The sequence below is a fragment of the Homo sapiens genome, chromosome 10 (assembly GCF_000001405.40).
Source record: "Homo sapiens chromosome 10, GRCh38.p14 Primary Assembly".
Taxonomy (NCBI): Eukaryota; Metazoa; Chordata; class Mammalia; order Primates; family Hominidae; genus Homo; species Homo sapiens.
The window spans coordinates 91,023,970-91,042,570 of NC_000010.11; the positions used below are offsets into that span (position 1 = coordinate 91,023,970).

Here is an 18,601-nt window from a genome sequence, read left to right on the forward strand (position 1 = left end):
CCTTAATTAACCAGGCATGAATGATAATATTGCCTGGGTTGAAGAACTCATCTCTGTCACTGGTAAATATAAATAACGAGCCCTGTTCATAGAAAAGCGTGCCAGAATTTCATTGATTAACATCCCGTGCCACAGCCTCTCTTTGAAATTAAAAACACTTTCAATGACACTGAAAAGACATTGCACAAAAAAAAATATTTCTAAGACAAGGTTGTCATTAAAGCATGCCAGAAATAGAACTGTTTTTATTTAACCATCCTCACTCCTCCCCGCCCCCTCCCTTGCTGGCTGTGAGGCTGCACGCAGTTAAATCACAAGGATTACAGAAAGTAATTTCATCCATTTGAATTTTAGAAGCTTCAGAAGCAGACCTATGGATAATGCTTAGTTGATGCGTCTCTTTGCCCCCATGGCAAGTGATAATTAAGGAAGTGATATGAGCAGATTTAAAATCCAGCTGTTTAGTAATTTACAGAATTTTTTTATTTCTTAACTGCACATCAGATTCTACCCCACTGTCACTCTCTTAGTCCTGACCCTCATTGTTGTCCCCACACAGCCTCCTAATTGGTCTCCTTGCCTCCAGCTTTAAGCCCCTGTTTCATGGGGACACGACTGCTGGACAGAATATGAAAACTGGTGATTGGAGGGCCAGAATCACTGCAGACTTGTTTATAAGTACAGTGGGTTGTTTGGTTTGGTTTGGCTTTTTAGATTGCAAAGCCTTTAAATGAGTTTAGTGTGCTTGCTACACAGCCTCCTCAGTGTTCCCCCTGCAATCTCTTACACGAGATTCTCCACCACATGACCCCCGTCACTTATGTATCCTGATGTGTCACAGTTCCTTTGCTTCTGTGGCCTCTGGTCCTGTCTGCCAGCCTTGGCCATCTATGCATTGGGCAGGAAGTGCTCTTCAGCCCACCACAACTCTTTGGCTTTTCCCAGTTCTGCTTGAAATCTAATGACAAAAACCACATGATTATCTCAATACATGCAGAAAAGGCCTTCGATAAAATTCAACGCCACTTTATGCTAAAAACTCTCAATAAAATAGGTATTGATGGAACGTATCTCAAAATAATAACAGCTATTTATGACAAACCCACAGGCAATATCACACTGAATGTGCAAAAGTTGGAACCATTCCCTTTGAAAGCCAGCACAAGACGAGGATGCCTTCTCTCACCACTCCTATTCAACATAGTATTGGAAGTTCTGGCCAGGGCAATCAGACAAGAGAATGAAATAAAGGGTATTCGAATAGGAAGAGAGGAAGTCAATTGTCTCTGTTTGCAGATGACATGATTGTATATTTAGAAAACCCCATCGTCTCAGCCCAAAATCTCCTTAAGCTGATAAGCAACTTCAGCAAAGTCTCAGGATACAAAATTAATCTGCAAAAATCACAAGCATTCTTATACACCAATAATAGAAAAACAGAGAACCAAATCATGAGTGAACTCCCATTCACAAATGCTACAAAGAGAATAAAATACCTAGGAATCCAACATACAAGCAATGTGAAGGACCTCTTCAAGGAGAACTACAAACCACTGCTAAAGGAAATAAGAGAGAAAACAAATGGAAGAACATTCCATGCTCATGGATAGAAAGAATGAATATGGTGAAAATGGCCATACTGCCCAAACTAACTTACAGATTCAATGCCATCCCCATCAAGCTACCATCGGCTTTCTTCACAGAATTAGAAAAAAACTACTTTAAATTTCATATGGAACCAAAAAAGAGCCCGCATTGCCAAGTCAATCCTAAGCCAAAAGAACACAGCTGGAGGCATCACGCTACTTGACTTCAAACTCTACTACAAGGCTACACTAACCAAAACAGCGTGGTACTCGTACCAAAACAGAGATATAGACCAATGGAACAGAACAGAAGCTCAGAAATAACGCCACACATCTACAACCATCTGATCTTTGACAAACCTGACAAAAACAAGCAATGGGGAAAGGATTCGCTATTTAATAAATGGCGTTGGGAAAACTGGCTCGTCATATGCAGAAAAGTGCAACTTCCTTACACCTTATACAAAAATTAACCCAAGATGGATTAAAGACTTAAACGTAAGACCTAAAACCATAAAAACCCTAGAAGAAAACCTAGGCAATACCATTCAGGACATAGGCATGGGCAAAGACTTCATGACTAAAACACCGAAAGCAATGGCAACAAAAGCCAAAATTGACAAATGGGATCTAATTACACTAAAGAGCTTCCGCACAGCAGAAGAAACTATCATCAGAGTGAACAGGCAATCTACAGAATGGGGGAAAATTTTTGCAATCCATCCATCTGACAAAGGGCTAATATCCAGAATCTACAAATAACTTAAACAAATTTACAAGGAAAAAACAAACAACCCCATCAAAAAGTGGGTGAAGGATATGAACAGACACTTCTCAAAAGAAGACATTTATGTGGCCAACAAACATAGGAAAAAAAGCTCTTCATCACTGGTCATTAGAGAAATGCAAATCAAAACCACAATGAGATATCATCTCATGTCAGTTAGAATGGCCATTATTAAAAAGTCAGGAAAGACCACTGTGCAATCAAACTAGAACTCAGGATCAAGAAACTCACTCAAAACTGCTCAACCACATGGAAACTGAACAACCTGCTCCTGAATGACTACTGGGGACATAATGAAATGAAGGCAGAAATAAACATGTTCTTTGAAACCAATGAGAACAAAGACACAACATACCAGAATCTCTGGGACACATTCAAAGCAGTGTGTAGAGGGAAATTTATAGCACTAAATGCCCACAAGAGAAAGCAGGAAAGATCTAAAATTGACACCCTAACATCACAATTAAAAGAACTAGAGAAGCAACAGCAAACACATTCAAAAGCTAGCAGAAGGCAAGAAATAACTAAGATCAGAGCAGAACTGAAGGAAATAGAGACACAAAAAACCCTTCAAAAAATCAATGAATCCGGGAGCTGGTTTTTTGAAAAGATCAACAAAATTGATAGACCTCTAGCAAGACTAATAAAGAAGAAAAGAGAGAAAAATCAAATAGATGCAATAAAAAATGATAAAGAGGATATCACCACTGACCCCACAGAAATACAAACTACCATCAGAGAATACTATAAACACCTCTACACAAATAAACTAGAAAATCTAGAAGAAATGGATAAATTCCTCGACACATACACCCTCAAACTAGAAAATCTAGAAGAAATGGATAAATTCCTCGACACATACACCCTCCCAAGACTAAACCAGGAAGAAGTTGAATCTCTGAATAGACCAATAACAGGCTCTGAAATTGAGGCAATAATTAATAGCTTACCAACCAAAAAAGTCCAGGACCAGATGGATTCACAGGCGAATTCTACCAGAGGTACAACGAGGAACTGGTACCATTCTTTCCGAAACTATTCCAATGAATAGAAAAAGAGGGAATCCTCCCTAACTCATTTTATGAGGCCAGCATCATCCTGATACAAAGCCTGGCAGAGACACAACAAAAAAAGAGAATTTTAGACCAATATCCCTGATGAACATTGATGCAAAAATCCTCAATATTATACTGGCAAACCGAATCCAGCAACACATCAAAAAGCTTATCCACCATGATCAAGTGGGCTTCATCCCTGGGATGCAAGGCTGGTTCAACATATGCAAATCAATAAACATAATCCAGCATACAAACAGAACCAATGACAAAAACCACATGATTATCTCAATAGATGCAGAAAAGGCCTTTGACAAAATTCAATAACTCTTCATGCTTAAAACTCTCAATAAAGTAGGTATTGATGGGACGTATCTCAAAATAATAAGAGCTATCTATGACAAACTCACAGCCAATATCATACTGAATGGGCAAAAACTGGAAGCATTCCCTTTGAAAACTGGCACAAGACAGGGATGCCCTCTCTCACCACGCCTATTCAACATAGTGTTGGAAGTTCTGGCCAGGGCAATCAGGCAGGAGAAGGAAATAAAGGGTATTCGATTAGGAAAAGAGGAAGTCAAATTGTCCCTGTTTGCAGATGACATGATTGTATATTCAGAAAACCCCATCGTCTCAGCCGAAAATCTCCTTAAGCTGATAAGCAACTTCAGCAAAGTCTCAGGATACAAAATCAATGTGCAAAAATCACAAGCATTCTTATACACCAATAACAGACAAACAGAGAGCCAAATCAGGAGTGAACTCCCATTCACGATTGCTTCAAAGAGAATAAAATACCTAGGAATCCAACTTACAAGGGATGTGAAGGACCTCTTCAAGGAGAACTACAAACCACTGCTCAATGAAATAAAAGAGGATACAAACAAATGGAAGAACATTCCATGCTCATGGATAGGAAGAATCAATATTGTGAAAACAGCCGTACTGCCCAAGGTAATTTATAGATTCAATGCCATCCCCATCAAACTACCAATGACTTTCTTCACAGAATTAGAAAAAAATACTTTAAAATTCCTATGGAACCAAAAAACAGCCCGCATTGCCAAGTCAATCCTAAGCCAAAAGAGCACAGCTGGAGGCATCATGCTACCTGACTTCAAACTATACTACAAGGCTACAGTAACCAAAACAGCATGGTACTGGTACCAAAACAAAGATATAGACCAATGGAACAGAACAGAGCCCTCAGAAATAATGCCACATATCTACAACTATCTGATCTTTGACAAACCTGACAAAAACAAGAAATGGGGAAAGGATTCCCTATTTAATAAATGGTGCTGGGAAAACTGGCTAGCCATAGGTAGAAAGCTGAAACTGGATCCCTTCCTTACATCTTATACAAAAGTTAATTCAAGATGGATTAAAGACTTACATGTTAGACCTAAAACCATAAAAACCCTAGAAGAAAACCTAGGCAATACCATTCAGGACATAGGCATGGGCAAGGACTTCATGTGTAAAACACCAAAAGCAATGGCAACAAAAGCCAAAATTGACAAATGGGATCTATTTAAACTAAAGAGCTTCTGCACAGCAAAAGAAACTACCATCAGAGTGAACAGGCAGCCTACAGAATAAGAGAAAATTTTTGCAACCTACTCATCTGACAAAGGGCTAATATCCAGAAGCTACAATGAACTCCAACAAATTTACAAGAAAAAAACAACCCCATCAAAAAGTGGGCAAAGGGTATGAACAAATACTTCTCAAAAGAAGACATTTATGCAGCCAAAAGACACATGAAAAAATGCTCATCATCACTGGCCATCAGAGAAATGCAAATCAAAACCACAATGAGATACCATCTCACACCCATTTAGAATGGTGATCTTTAAAAAGTCAGGAAACAACAGGTGCTGGAGAGGCTGTGGAGAAATAGGAACACTTTTACACTGTTGGTGGGACTGTAAACTAGTTCAACCATTGTGGAAGTCAGTGTGGCGATTCCTCAGGGATCTACAACTAGAAATACCATTTGACCCAGCCATCCCATTACTGGATATATACCCAAAGGATTATAAATCATGCTGCTATAAAGACACATATACACATATGTTTATTGTGGCACTATTCACAATAGCAAAGACTTGGAACCAGCCCAAATGTCCAACATTGATAGACTGGATTAAGAAAATGTGGCACATATACACTATGGAATACTATGCAGCCATAAAAAAGGATGAGTTCATGTCCTTTGTAGGGACATGGATGAAGCTGGAAACCATCATTCTCAGCAAACTATCACAAGGACAAAAAACCAAACACCACATGTTCTCACTCATAGGTGGGAATTGAACATTGAGAACACATGGACACAGGAAGGGGAATGTCACACACCAGGGCCTGTTGTGGGGTGGGGGGAGGGGGGAGGGATAGCATTAGGAGATATACCTAATGTTAAATGACGAGTTAATGGGTGCAGCACACCAACATGGCACATGTATACATATGTAACAAACCTGCACGTTGTGCACATGTACCCTAGAGCTTAAAGTATATATAAAAAAAAATCCAACTCATCTTTCGAGGTCAAGTTGAAATGTTACCTTCTCTATGAAGTGCCTGTTAAGTTTTGTAGTCAATCTAGTGTGGCAGAGAAAGCAAGGACTCTGACATCAGGCAGACCTGAGTTTGAATCCCACCTCTTTCATTTATCAGGTCTGAGAGCTTAGCTATTTTCTTAATATCTTTGAAGCTCCACCTATTGATTTGTAAAATGAGAGTCATTTATACTGCAGGTACCTATTATTATCATTATGTGTTTTGCTTCTTTTTTTTTTTCTGTTGCCCAGGCTGGAGTGCAGTGAACAATCTCGGTTCTCTGCAACTTCCAACTCCCGGGTTCAAGCGATTCTCCTGCCTCAGCCTCCTGAGTAGCTGGGACTACAGGTGACTACCATCACACCTGGCTAGTAGAGATGGGGTTTCATCATGTTTCTCAGGCCAGTCTCGAACCCCTGGCCTCAAGCAATCCACTCGCCTTGGCTTCCCAAAATGCTGGAATTGCAGGCGTGCTTTGCTTCTTTCACAGAATATTGTATAGCACTTTCTACATTTGTCTTTTAATACGGTATGTGTGCATCTCTCTTTCTCCTCCACTGAATCACAGCACTGGGTTGTCATCACTGCATTTCCACAGTGCCCTGCATGGACCTCAAACTTTGGCACTCAGTGGACATTTATTAAGTGTGTGTTTGTTCAAATTGTCTGCTTTGCGTTAATGAAACTGACAGTCATTTGTTTAATAACTCATGGGAGAGACAGATCTGAAAACTTTGCCAATTCATACCTGTACTTCTTTTCATTCCTCATTTTTAGATTTTTATTCACATGATTTAGATTTTGACCCCTTAAATTATAACATAGTGGTAACAACTTATTACTTGTGTGTGTGTGTATATATATATATATATATACATATTTAAATTTTATTGTAGTTATATAGTGTTTCCTATTAGCAAGGAAGAAGTCTAAGTCCTTCATATATATTTCATGTGTAATTCTCACAACCAACCTGGGAGGTAGATACCACCCTAATCCCCACTTTACAGATGAAGGAACTGAGGCTTGGCAGGATGAAGGTTAAGTGATTTGACTGAAGTCTTGCAGCTGGCGCATGGTGAGCCTGGAGCCAAACCCAGGAAGTCAGGCTCCGGAGAAGAAGATTCTCACCACTAGCAAGTAATGCCTTTGACATACTATCACCAGCTAAACCAGAAAGCAAAAAGTAAATGGAAATGATCTAATTGGTTACTGTTTCACACACACAAAATAACCTAGTTCAACTGATGTTCTGGTTAGCTAGACCCCCAGGTGCCCATATGTGAGTTGTGTGAGAATAAAAATGACTGACAGAGGTTTTGCATAAAAATGACTGACGGAGTTTTTGCCCACCCAGCTGCTTCTGTGGCCTCTGGCAGGTAGTGCTGGGTTTCCTGAAGACCCCTTCTCACCTTTCCCGTAGATCTAGATGTAACTTGCCAAGAAAAGCAGTTGTAGGACACAAAGATGTGCAGCACCAGGGGGACACTCCGGTCAGAGATCCAGATCCCTACAGAAGCAAAAGTCTCCAGGAGGGAGGAAGAGGATGTCTGCCACAAACCCCTAGCTCAGTCAATGACAACCAAGATGGCCTGGTCCTGAAAATGACTCAAAACTCAGAGCTGAAAATTTTTGGAGGATTCATGGAGTTGATAGCAGCAACCTCAGGCTTGAAGAGCACACGGCCATTCTATGGCTGTGAAAACCACCCATGCTCATTCCTGTGCTCCAGGATCTCCAGACATACCCACTGGCAGTATGCTGCTACTTCTATTCCAGACTCAAAGACCATAGGATGCCATTTCCATATTGTAATCTATGGTTGTGCTTCTCAAACGAATTGCAGACAAATAACCTGGGAGTCTTGTTAAAAATGTAGATTCTGACCCAGTAGGTTTGGGGTTGCCTGAGATTCTGCATTTTTAAAAACAGAGATGGGGTCTTGCTATGTTGCCCAGGCTGGTCTTAAACTCTTGGGTTCCAGGATTTTCCTACCTCAGCCTTTCAAAATGTTGGGATTACAGGCACGAGCCACTGAGCCTGGCCAGATTCTGCATTTCTAACAAGCTCCTGGGTGATATTGATGCTGCTGGTCCAGGGATTATACTCTGAGTTGCAAGAGCCCACGGATACTAGCCTGTAATGGGCTAAATTGCACTGCAAATCTTTAAAAAGTGTCTGTAATACACAACATTTCCAGGATTTATTTGCCCAAGGGACCCATTTTAGTAGAACATTTATTAAAATCTCTATTAGTTAATTAAGATTAAGGTTTAATTTTGAGTAACATAAAATTCAGAATAGCTGACATTTTTTCCTTTATTACACATAAAAGAAATCTAGATAGTCTAGGGTTGGCCATGGCCCCAGACAGCCTCAGGAACCCTGTCTCCTTCTGTTGCATTGTTCTACCCTCCACAGCTTGTAGCTTCCACATCCATGTCCAAGATGGCTGCTCCAGTTTCAGCCACTACAAACGCATAACACCGGCAAGAACAAGGAAGGACAGCAGAAGGACATATGCACTCTCCTTTCCAATGACACTTCCAAGGAGTTGCACATACTACCTATGCTTTCATATCATTGTCCAGAACCTCATCACTTGGCACAGCTGCAAGGAAGACTGGTCAGTGTGGTCGGCATTCTGAGTACCCATATCCACAACCAAAAATCGAGGGCACTAGTACCGAGAAAGGGAGGGGAGTGTATATTTTCCTTACACAGTCTCTTAAAGAACTAGTAAAAATAGGGAAAGAAGTGATGCTCTGGTCTGACCCCTTCATTTTGCACAACTGGTTGGCAAGTGTCCAGCATAAGCATCTGTGTCTCTTGGCTGCTCTTTCACATCTTGCTCAATTACTCCGTGGTTCCTCTTCAGATGATATCCTTCCTATCCATGGTGGCAGAGAGGAGACCCTAGGAAGTCCCTGTCTTGGCTGCTTGAGAGCTGTAGCCCTGTTGGGAGCATGTGATTGATAGACTACTCTGCCTAGCTCCCACTGGGCTCAGAGAATGCATTAGTGTCACAAAAGAGAGGCAAGAGCACGGGAGAATAAAACCATGGTCCATTATTTTGCCATGTGACACATCTGTACAGGCATCAAAACGTCATAATATGTATGCAGTTTTATAGTGAACCCAGTCTTTGTGACAGCATTTCTGCAAGTTTCTCAATTCTGCATCTTTGCTTCACTGTCTTTGAATATCAGTGACCTGCCATGGGAGGAAGGTAGGCTCATTCTCCAACACTGAATCATTGTACAAAGTCTCTTATGACTTAGTACTGAGATTGCTTGCTAAATAAGAAAAGAATAGAAAGGGATCTGGGAAAAGGCAGATTTAACATTTATTGACTGCCCACTATGTGCCAGGTATGAGGCTTGGTGTTCATATACGTGTCTTTTCATGCTAATTACAATTTATGACACAATACAATTTGGTCTGGTAATGACCAAGCTGGGAGTTCAACCAGGTATCTATGCCTCTAAAATCCATCTCTTTTTATCAAAACAGAAAACAGGAGCAGCCTTCTGTGCAGCTCACTCTCTTTGTCTCCCTGATCTAGCCTTCCCCCTACCACATTCTTTCACACATTGACTTTGTGTTCATCTTTTCCCAGTAATTAGTAAATTATAACCCCCACATCTCAAATTCTTGACATTCATTTGCTGTTTCCCAGTAATTCATCCCATTTGGTATTTGCCTTGAAAAAGGATCCAAAGTGCTGGCTAATGCGGCACGCACTCCCTTGCCTGGATGCAGCCCTCCACCTCATTTATCACATTGAGCCGCTGGTCCTGAAGTCTGACAGGCAATTCAGGCTTTCTGAATGCAATTCAGGCATTGATTTTAATCTATAAAGCTTTCGCGTCTGGGTCCTGGCTGCCATGGAAATGAAATAGCTTCTTGGATACTTTTCCCCATGCTGCTGCTAACTATTCTGATATGCAGGGTTTTGAGAGACAGTTCTGTATTTCTGATGTACAAATGTCCAATATGAATAGCCTCGTAACTTTAACCATCATTGTTAAACGGAATGGAAATCTTAAACAAGGACAAATACATGGCACACACTTACACTTACGGCCCTAGGCAATGAATTTATTGATAACAATATCTGGCTAAAAACAAATTTAAAAATACAGACCACAAGGTGGCAAACACATTTGGTTTTCAAACAGGAAATCTCGAAGCCCAGGAGGACACTGGGTACCAGGAAACCAGTGGAGAAGCACGATGTTTAGACTTTGGTGTGTAATCTGATTTTCTCTCACCCACACAGGGGAAGTTGGTGGCAAGGAAATGATTCTAAGATGTATGCTTTGTCAAGGTGGGGGCAGGAAGAATGAAAACTTGGTGCTTACACTAAAAGTATGGTGGCAGGAAATGAGCTATCATTTCAAGTCATGAAAAGACACAGGGAAACTTAAATGCTCATGACTAAGTGAAAGAAGCCAATCCAATAAGGGTCCATACTGCATGATTCCAACTGTAGAATCTTCTGGAAAAGGCAAAACTGTGGAGACAATGAAAACATCAATGGAGGTCAGAGGTCAGAAGAGAGGGTTGAATAGGCAGACCAGAGAGGATTTTAAGAGCAGTGGAAGAAGCTATTCTGTGTAATATTATAATGGAGGATACATGTTATCATATATTTGTCCAAACCGTGGAATGGACAACAGTAAGAATGAACCCAAGTGTAAACTGTGGACTTTGGATGATAACGATGTGCCGATGTAACACATGCACTGCTCTGGTGGGGAGTGCTGGTCATGGGGGAGGTTGTGACTGTGTTGGGGCAGGGAGTATATAGGAAAGAAGTCTCTGTACCTTCCTCTCAATTTTACTGTGAACCTAAAACTGCTCTAAAGAAAAAAAAAAAAAAAAAAAACTGGAAAAAACAAAAGTGCAGTGGCAGGCAGTGTGCCCAGGGAATATGACACCACCTTTGTTCCAGTCGGCCCTAGAGGCTGGGAAATGGGGGAGGATGACGGGAACTGTAAAGGGGATTTAAACTCTTCCACCACAGTTCTGCTTTCATTCACTTCCCCGGAAGGTTCTGGCTGGCTGCCCTTACTGCTCACGTGGCTTTCATTCCAAAACGCAATTCCTCACTTCAGCTTTTTAAATTCTGATGACATTGGCGTTAGCAAAGAATGTGACAAAGCAGTTGATATGTTGACATATATCCCTAAAAGGATAGAGTTTTAATTAAAAAAATTAAGAATGTGTCCAAAAAGACAGAAACTTAAGTAAAAGTAGAAATAGAAAAAGATGACTCTGAGGCATTTTCAAGTAGCAAATGATGGTTGAATCCACTCATGGAGTTTTATTTTGCCATGGAAGAAGGCTGGTAGACCATGACTTATCATATAGAGAGAGCTGGGTGAAACATAGATTTAATTGAGTCCCTGAAACAGAACTTCACATAAAATGTTCAGTGGCACATATAAGTTAGGAGGCGGATGCCAGTCTCTGCTCTTATGAGCAGTGAAGCATAAACTCAACTACAGTTTTTCAGGAGCTTCCCCCTGTCCTTTTCCAATTATCCAGCTCTGTTTAGAAAGTGATAATTCTTCCAACACTAAAAAATACAAGTTTAATATCATAAGTATACTTTTTAGGGTCTGGTTTCAGCAAAGCCCAGCGAGACCGGGAGATGAAGCTGCCATCAGCTGGCGTCAGGTCAATGCACACATAAATTTTTTCCAAACTAAAAACTGTGGTTGTCTGTGTGATATCAAAACAATTGTATGATTAAGTCAGTTCCATCAAGAATCCCTCACAGCAGTTGCTTGGGATGTAAACAGAGACTGACCACATTTTTCCTTTTCAAATGTGAATTGGGTGGCCTTAGATGTGTTATCTAGGAGGGACCAGTAGGCAGGAAAGGTAAGCTACCTTTACATTTTCACAGTTCCAAGCAACAACCAACATCCTTGGCTCTTAGGCGGCTTTGGTGCCTGTTGTCCCTGCCACAGGGCCTCCCTAAGCTCAAGTCCTCCCCATTGTCAGGTCAGCACAGTGGGCACTTGCCCGTGCTCACCAGCACTTTATACGATTGAGTTTGTAACAAGCCCCCTTCAACTCCACCATTGTGGATTGCTCACAAGCATCCTGGGATATACCCAGCGGTGATGAGGCATTGTCCCGGCCCTTCAGGGGCTCCCGGTAATACTGTTCTCTCAGGCCAACTGCCTTATTATCAGGAATGGCAAAACACGGTATATAATATTGGGGCTCCTACCTGTTTCCTCCCAAGGAAAAACTCTGTGCTCCAATTCCCATCCAGATTCTTGGATGTAAAAGACACCAACTGAAGCTCGAAGTGATTTTTCCTTCTCTGAGAACAGCAAGGACTCAGGGAGATGAGGCTCCAGGGCTGTGTCTGTTTTACACGGCCTGTTACATGCATGTCTGACAGATCCAGAGGAGAATGAACCCAAGGTGGATTGATCAGGACCCCACCTCTCTATCCACAATCGATCACCCCAGGAGTAGGTAACAATGTTAGCTATTTGTCTGCAACTAGCAATTGCCTTTTTAAATGGTCAGAAACTTAAACTGGGACATCTGACCTGGGAAAGCCAGGCTCATTAGATTATTTCCACAGAGTTGGAACTAAAAGAAGAGGACCATCTCCCCTCTGGGGGTAGAAGCCACAGGACATAAGACTTTAGCCCTGTGAACAATCCTGTTCCCCGATGGGTTGAATGCTGGTCCTGATTCAAGGTAGTGATGCCTCTGCTCTTCAGAGAGAAGTAGAGATGAGAGACAGAGACAGCCCTGGGGACATTTGATCACTGGGTCAGAGCTGCCCCTTCCCCACTTTGTTGGCAGTTATATGAGGCACCCCCTTATTCCTCCAATAAATTCTCTTTTTGCCTGAGCTAATTAGCATTGGGTTTCTATAACTTGCAGGCAAAGCGACACACTGGCAAATTTTCTTGCCCTGACAGCTGGCCTGTCCCATAATTAGATGACCCTTCCTGTGTTTTTTGGCTCAAATCATCATCCATGTGTCCCTCTTTCCTAAAGGCTGTGTCTGAGTCACAGCCTGGTGCATGAACCACCCAGGTGCTCAAGATTTCTGGAGAACACCACTCGCTTGTTACACTCAGCTCACCATGGAATTCTTCTCCTCTACTATGGCCCACATTCTTACCTTCTCTCTGTGATTAGAATTCTGGATCTTGGCTCAATACCTTTCCATCCTTCCATTACATCCTTTCTCTGTGGTTGCTTGGAATTTCTGGCAGATGATTGTGCAAAATTGGCAGATGTTCCCCTTCTTCCATCCAGGACTGTGAACTTCCCTGTCCCTAGGAATTTTAAGTAGTAGCCTTTCTTCCTCCTTTCCCTTTCCTCTTTTAGCATTAGACCCAAAGCCATGGACAATTAAAAATTATCTCCCCTTTCTAGAAATCTGAGAGACTCCTGCTTTAAGGCCTTATTTTGAAATATTTGACATTGATTTCGATAGACATTAAGAGATCTTATTTCTGAAAACTATATATAGAGGTCCTTGACATTCTCAGATTTAATTCTCATCACCTCCCCATGTAGCAGATATATTTAGGCTGCGGAGCATTTGAATTTCTTTCTGGCTGGGCTCAGTGGTTCATGCCTATAATCCCAATACATTGAGAGGCTAAGGTGGGAAGATTGCCTGAAGCCAGGAGTTCGAGACCAGCCTGGGCAGCATAGCAAGACCCTGTATCTACAGAAATAAAAAATAAAAATAAATAGCAAGGTACGGTGATGTGCACCTGTAGTCCCAGCTATTTGGGAAGCTGAGGCAGGAGGATTGCTTAAGCCCAGGAGTTCCAAGTTGCAGTGAGCTATGATTGTGACACAGCACTCCAGACTGAGTGACACAGCGAGACCCTGTCTTAAAATAAATAAATAAATAAATAAACGAATAATTAAAAAAAGAATTTCTTTCCTGTGATTGTAGACAAAAACCACTTTCTTCTGTAGAAGCTGAAAAGTGCTGATATTCACTCTTCCAGCTTTGCTTGCTACTAGAGCCTACGCACCCAGAGTAGGCTTGGCCCATCAGATGCACACATCTGGGGCTTAGAATTAGAAGCTAATTAGGCAAAGAAGGGGGAATCATGGATTGTCCATCTGTTAGTGGCAGCAAAAGTGGCAACACCAACCAGTCTGTGGGGCAGTCATGGTCACGGTGCCCACCATGGTGGACCAGTGGAGTTCAATGCCCACCGGCAGAGGCATTCAGTGTCTGAATGGGACAACTGTGACATTGATCTTGGCTGTGGTCTGGCTGCCCAGGCCCACTTTTTGCCTGTCACTGTCTAAATCTTGTTCTCCAGCCTCCCGCCAAGGATTCTGTATGTCTCCAGTGTCCTTTCAACACATCACTTTTTTATTTAAGTTGCTCACAGCAAGAAACTTTGAATGGTCCACCCTTATGGGGTTCACTATAGGCAGTCATTTATTTATTCCTTGTGGTGCAAATTTGAAATATGTAGTCTGGAAGGCTGATATGTAAGAGCTGGTCACTTCACTAGTGAGAGAGCCGAGCAGATCTCCAGTTCCGTGACTCAGTACAACTTTAGTTTTTCCTTGTGAGATGATAAAAATATTTGTTCCTTTTTGGGGGTGGGTATGAAGCATAGCTGTTCAATTGAAGCTGTGGGAGAAGTGCAGAGAAAGGGAGACATAGTTCTTACCTGGAAAATAACTTTATAAATGACTTAAGTCCTGTGCACAAAATATCGTCAAAGGTGTGACAGGATCATTTCCAGTTGGCTTTTTTCATTTTATGACAGAAACTATATTCTGTAGTGATCGTGTGACTATTCGGTTTATCAACTAAACCAGGGTAACACTGACAGTGAAAGGGGATGCTATTATTTATCATTCCATTAGAAACACTAAGATAACAGACATAATAATGGTCACCCTAAGTGGTAGAGTGGAGATTGGAGATTCTAGATGGTCTTGGAGTCCCTCAGACACTAAGCTATCTATGGTGGTGCCTGCCCCACAGCACTCTCTCCATGTTCCTCAATCACATTCTAATTCTTTCTCTTCAGGACCAGTGCTGGAGACTGACAGGTGTCAGCCTGCCTGCCCCTTCCCCACACTTCCCTATTCATGCAACTGGCAATCCATTCTAGATTTGCACACATTTCTACAGACACGATTTCCATAGCAACAGCAGGACTCTATAAAAAAGGCACCTGAGCGATGCTCAAAGATAAATCACCCTCTTTCAGAGTCCTCCACTCTAGGGAATTACAGGCTACTGCCACTCACAATTTCTTAGCTCCTTTTCACATATAGACATATGTACATTTCTAATCCCAGTTTACTGTCTTTCAGTTTAATTAATTACGAACATTTTAACCTCTTTTTTAGGCCAGAGATGCTTGCTGCGCAGCAGTGGTTCAGAAGTGTTTTAATGAACTAAGAAGGTAGGAGGAAAAGAAGTCTCATGTTAAGAGTTCCTACTATGCACCAGGCACTTTTACCTAAATTATCTCCTTTTCATAGAAACCCAGGCAGAACAAGGACACCTCTGCAGCACAGGCTGAGCTCATGCTAAATTGGCAAATGTTATGTACAACATCCCACTCCCATATCTCATCACCAAGGAAGCCAGAGAAAAAGAGGGTCTTCATGGGGGAAGGGATAGGAGTGGGAGGAGTGGGTGGCAGGATTGCCAGTTGGGGAGCTGGAAACACAGGGCTCAGGCTGGAGATTCTGTTTCCAAATCATTTGTCTCATCAGAGCAATGGGGAAGGAGGTGGGAATGAATGATATTGATTTATTTTCTTATCTGAGGAGAATGATGCCCTGAAAGCAAAGAGTATTAAGTAATTGGGCCTTGCTTCCTTGAACCTACCTGTCAGCCCCAATGAAGTCTCTCCTCCTTTTTTAATTTCAAGAAATCTCTACACAGTGCTATGATTAAAACAAAATTAGCAATTGTTTAGCTCCCTACAAGAATCTTTCAATTTTCATGATTTCAGGGTCTTATTTGTTTGGTTGGTTTTTGTGCTTTGGAGCAGATATGAAAAACATTTGTCTTACCTGTACTTGAAAATTCAATTCATTCATTTGTCGTTCATTCATTCATACAAGAAGTATTCCCTCATCTCCTTTTTGGCCTAGTCATGGGGCTTTGGGCTGAGAAATGCACACAGTCATGGGCCTTATTCTCCTAAGCTTGTCATCTAATTCAAAGAAAGAAATTAACTAGTTCACTATACAATTATGTGATTAAAAACTATATAAGGGCAATGAAAAAAAAGTACATGACAATATTAGAAGTGCAAGGGGTGGCCCTTGTTCCCACACTGTCCCACCATTAAGATCTATCCATTTGAAAAACGCGCATCTTAATGCGTAAGTCACCCAACTCATAGCATAAATAAGGTCAATCAGATTTTTTTCCTCCAAATGGGTTCATGAGATCAGTGTGCTGAGGAAGTGGGAGGATTTATGGAATCAATGAAGAGTAAAGGAATAATCTAGGAACATAGGACATCCATCGGTGGGCAAACCTGGTTAGGAGTTCCAAACAGCCTCACTGGAGCAAGAAAGCAACAGGTGCCAGAGAGAGAGAGGGAGAGGGACACAGAATGAGAGGCTGAAAGCACAAGGAAATAGATCTGTCCTAAGGAGGACCTTACCCAACGCTGCACACACCTAGACAAAGGGCAAATATAAGATATAGGGAATGACCTTTAATTCATTGATCATTAGTACCCAAGCTACTCAAAGCCAATTTTCAATAACTTCATGATTAATAACAGACACAAATATTTGGCATTTTCTCTGAAACCAAGTGGCATCTTTTTATTAGAGATTTTCCAGATGGCTGTGTTTGATGCTGCCAACTATCCCAGATGGAGAGGGTTTCCTCACCTGCACCCAATCTGTATGTACCTCTCTCCAGTTGTTTCCTGTCAAGCTTGGACTCCTGAATGAGATAACACTGGAAATGGCTGAGTTAAATGAACAGTTGTTATTTCCAGTTATGACTTAATCCCTGATAATGATTTATATCTGGTTTTATCCTTAATCCCTTTCCGCTCATTTACCTTAGTGAATCAGATCAAATCATTTATAAACTCGATGTTTCTTTCCCATTTTCCTTTATTTTAGCCAGAGGCCAAGCCAGAGCTAGGTATGAGAAGCCAGTCCCCAGGGTTGCTTTTCCCTCGGCTTCTACTTGGCTCTGCATATTCCTCTGGATAAAAACAACACCCAAAATGATGGCTCAGCCAATGCTGTTTTATCAATCTAGAGGCAGAAGTGAAAAGAGAGTTCTCTGGAGTTATTTGTAATCCATTTGCCCTTTCCATCAGAGTCTCTATTGCCAGGTCTTGAAGAAGGGTATGTGGACCCTCCACTAAGCCCATGTAAAACTCCTCCCTGAGTTGAGGGAAGGGAGTGTCCAAATGCTTTCCAGTTTGGGGTCAGTTGGGACAGTTTCTGCAAGGGCAATTATCTTCTCCTCCATAAAGAACTAATGTGGATTACCTCTAGAATTTCCCCCTTCTCATAACTCAAGCAAGAATCTGAACTTTTTCTTGGAGTCTGAATCTCAATGGGATTTGGTTTTCCACAGATTGGAACCTTTGTATGTAATTCAACACTTCATTTTGATTTAAGAAATGTCAATGAGCTTCCTCTATGCGCCTGGGTTTGAGTGATCCTGGGACTGTAGGACTATGTCTACATTTCATCTACAATGTACCTTGGCCATAGCCTTTGCAAACAAAAAGTTTATCAGTTGCTCACGTTTAAGGCAACTTCTCTGCTTTCAGAAAATTTATAATCTGGCAGAAGAATAATAGCGAGCACACACAAAACAATACATAAAGTAGTATGATACAACGGGAAGTGTTTTAGGCTGGAAATCAAGAGCTCATATCAGAGTGGTAGCTCTGCCATCTATAGATGGTGACACAACATTTCTTTACTTCTCTGAACCCCAAAGTTCTCATCTGTAAGGTGAAGTTGAACTAGATAATATCAGAGGGCTCCCTATGGACTCTACCTATGATCATATTCAAAATATCTTCTCTTGTCTCCATCTTCACCACTGTTCCCATCCAAACTAGCACTGTCTTGCTTCTCTACATCTGTAAAATTTCCTAGTGCTGCTTCCAGTCTTGCTATCCTAGAATTCATTATTGCAGTCAGAGTAATGTTTTGAAAACACGAATCATATCTTGCTACATGCCCCTCCCCCTCTGCCTAAAATCTTCCAACAGCTTCCAACTGCCCTTAGAATAGACCATAAGCTGCACAGATGGCTTTCCACACCCTCCGTAACCCGACCTTTCCTCCTGTGCTCTCTGACCTCACTGATTGAGTGTGTGCAGGAGTGTGTTCTCATCCTCACTCACTATGCTCTTACCACTTCTTTGTCCAAACCATGTCCCAACTAATTCTACCTGCTATTCCATCTAGAAAATTTCCTTTTCAGTGGACTCATATTTTCTGGTCTTTTTGCTTCAGGCACACTTAATTCTCTCTCTATCCCTCGAAGTGCAACCAGGGGATCAATGAGGTAAGGAAGAGAAATCAAGATTGGATTCTAGTCCAATCGAGAAATTAAGTCG

At 41.5% G+C, this 18,601-nt stretch overlaps 1 long non-coding RNA gene across 1 annotated transcript; it reads left to right on the forward strand.

The window, feature by feature from the left end:
* The first annotated feature begins 9,196 nt into the window (after nucleotides 1-9,196).
* On the forward strand, nucleotides 9,197-17,286 carry LOC105378430 (uncharacterized). The gene is made up of 3 exons (NR_134319.1): nucleotides 9,197-9,225; nucleotides 15,384-15,439; nucleotides 16,834-17,286. It is a non-coding gene; the product is annotated as an uncharacterized LOC105378430 (long non-coding RNA).
* The last annotated feature ends 1,315 nt before the right edge of the window (nucleotides 17,287-18,601 follow it).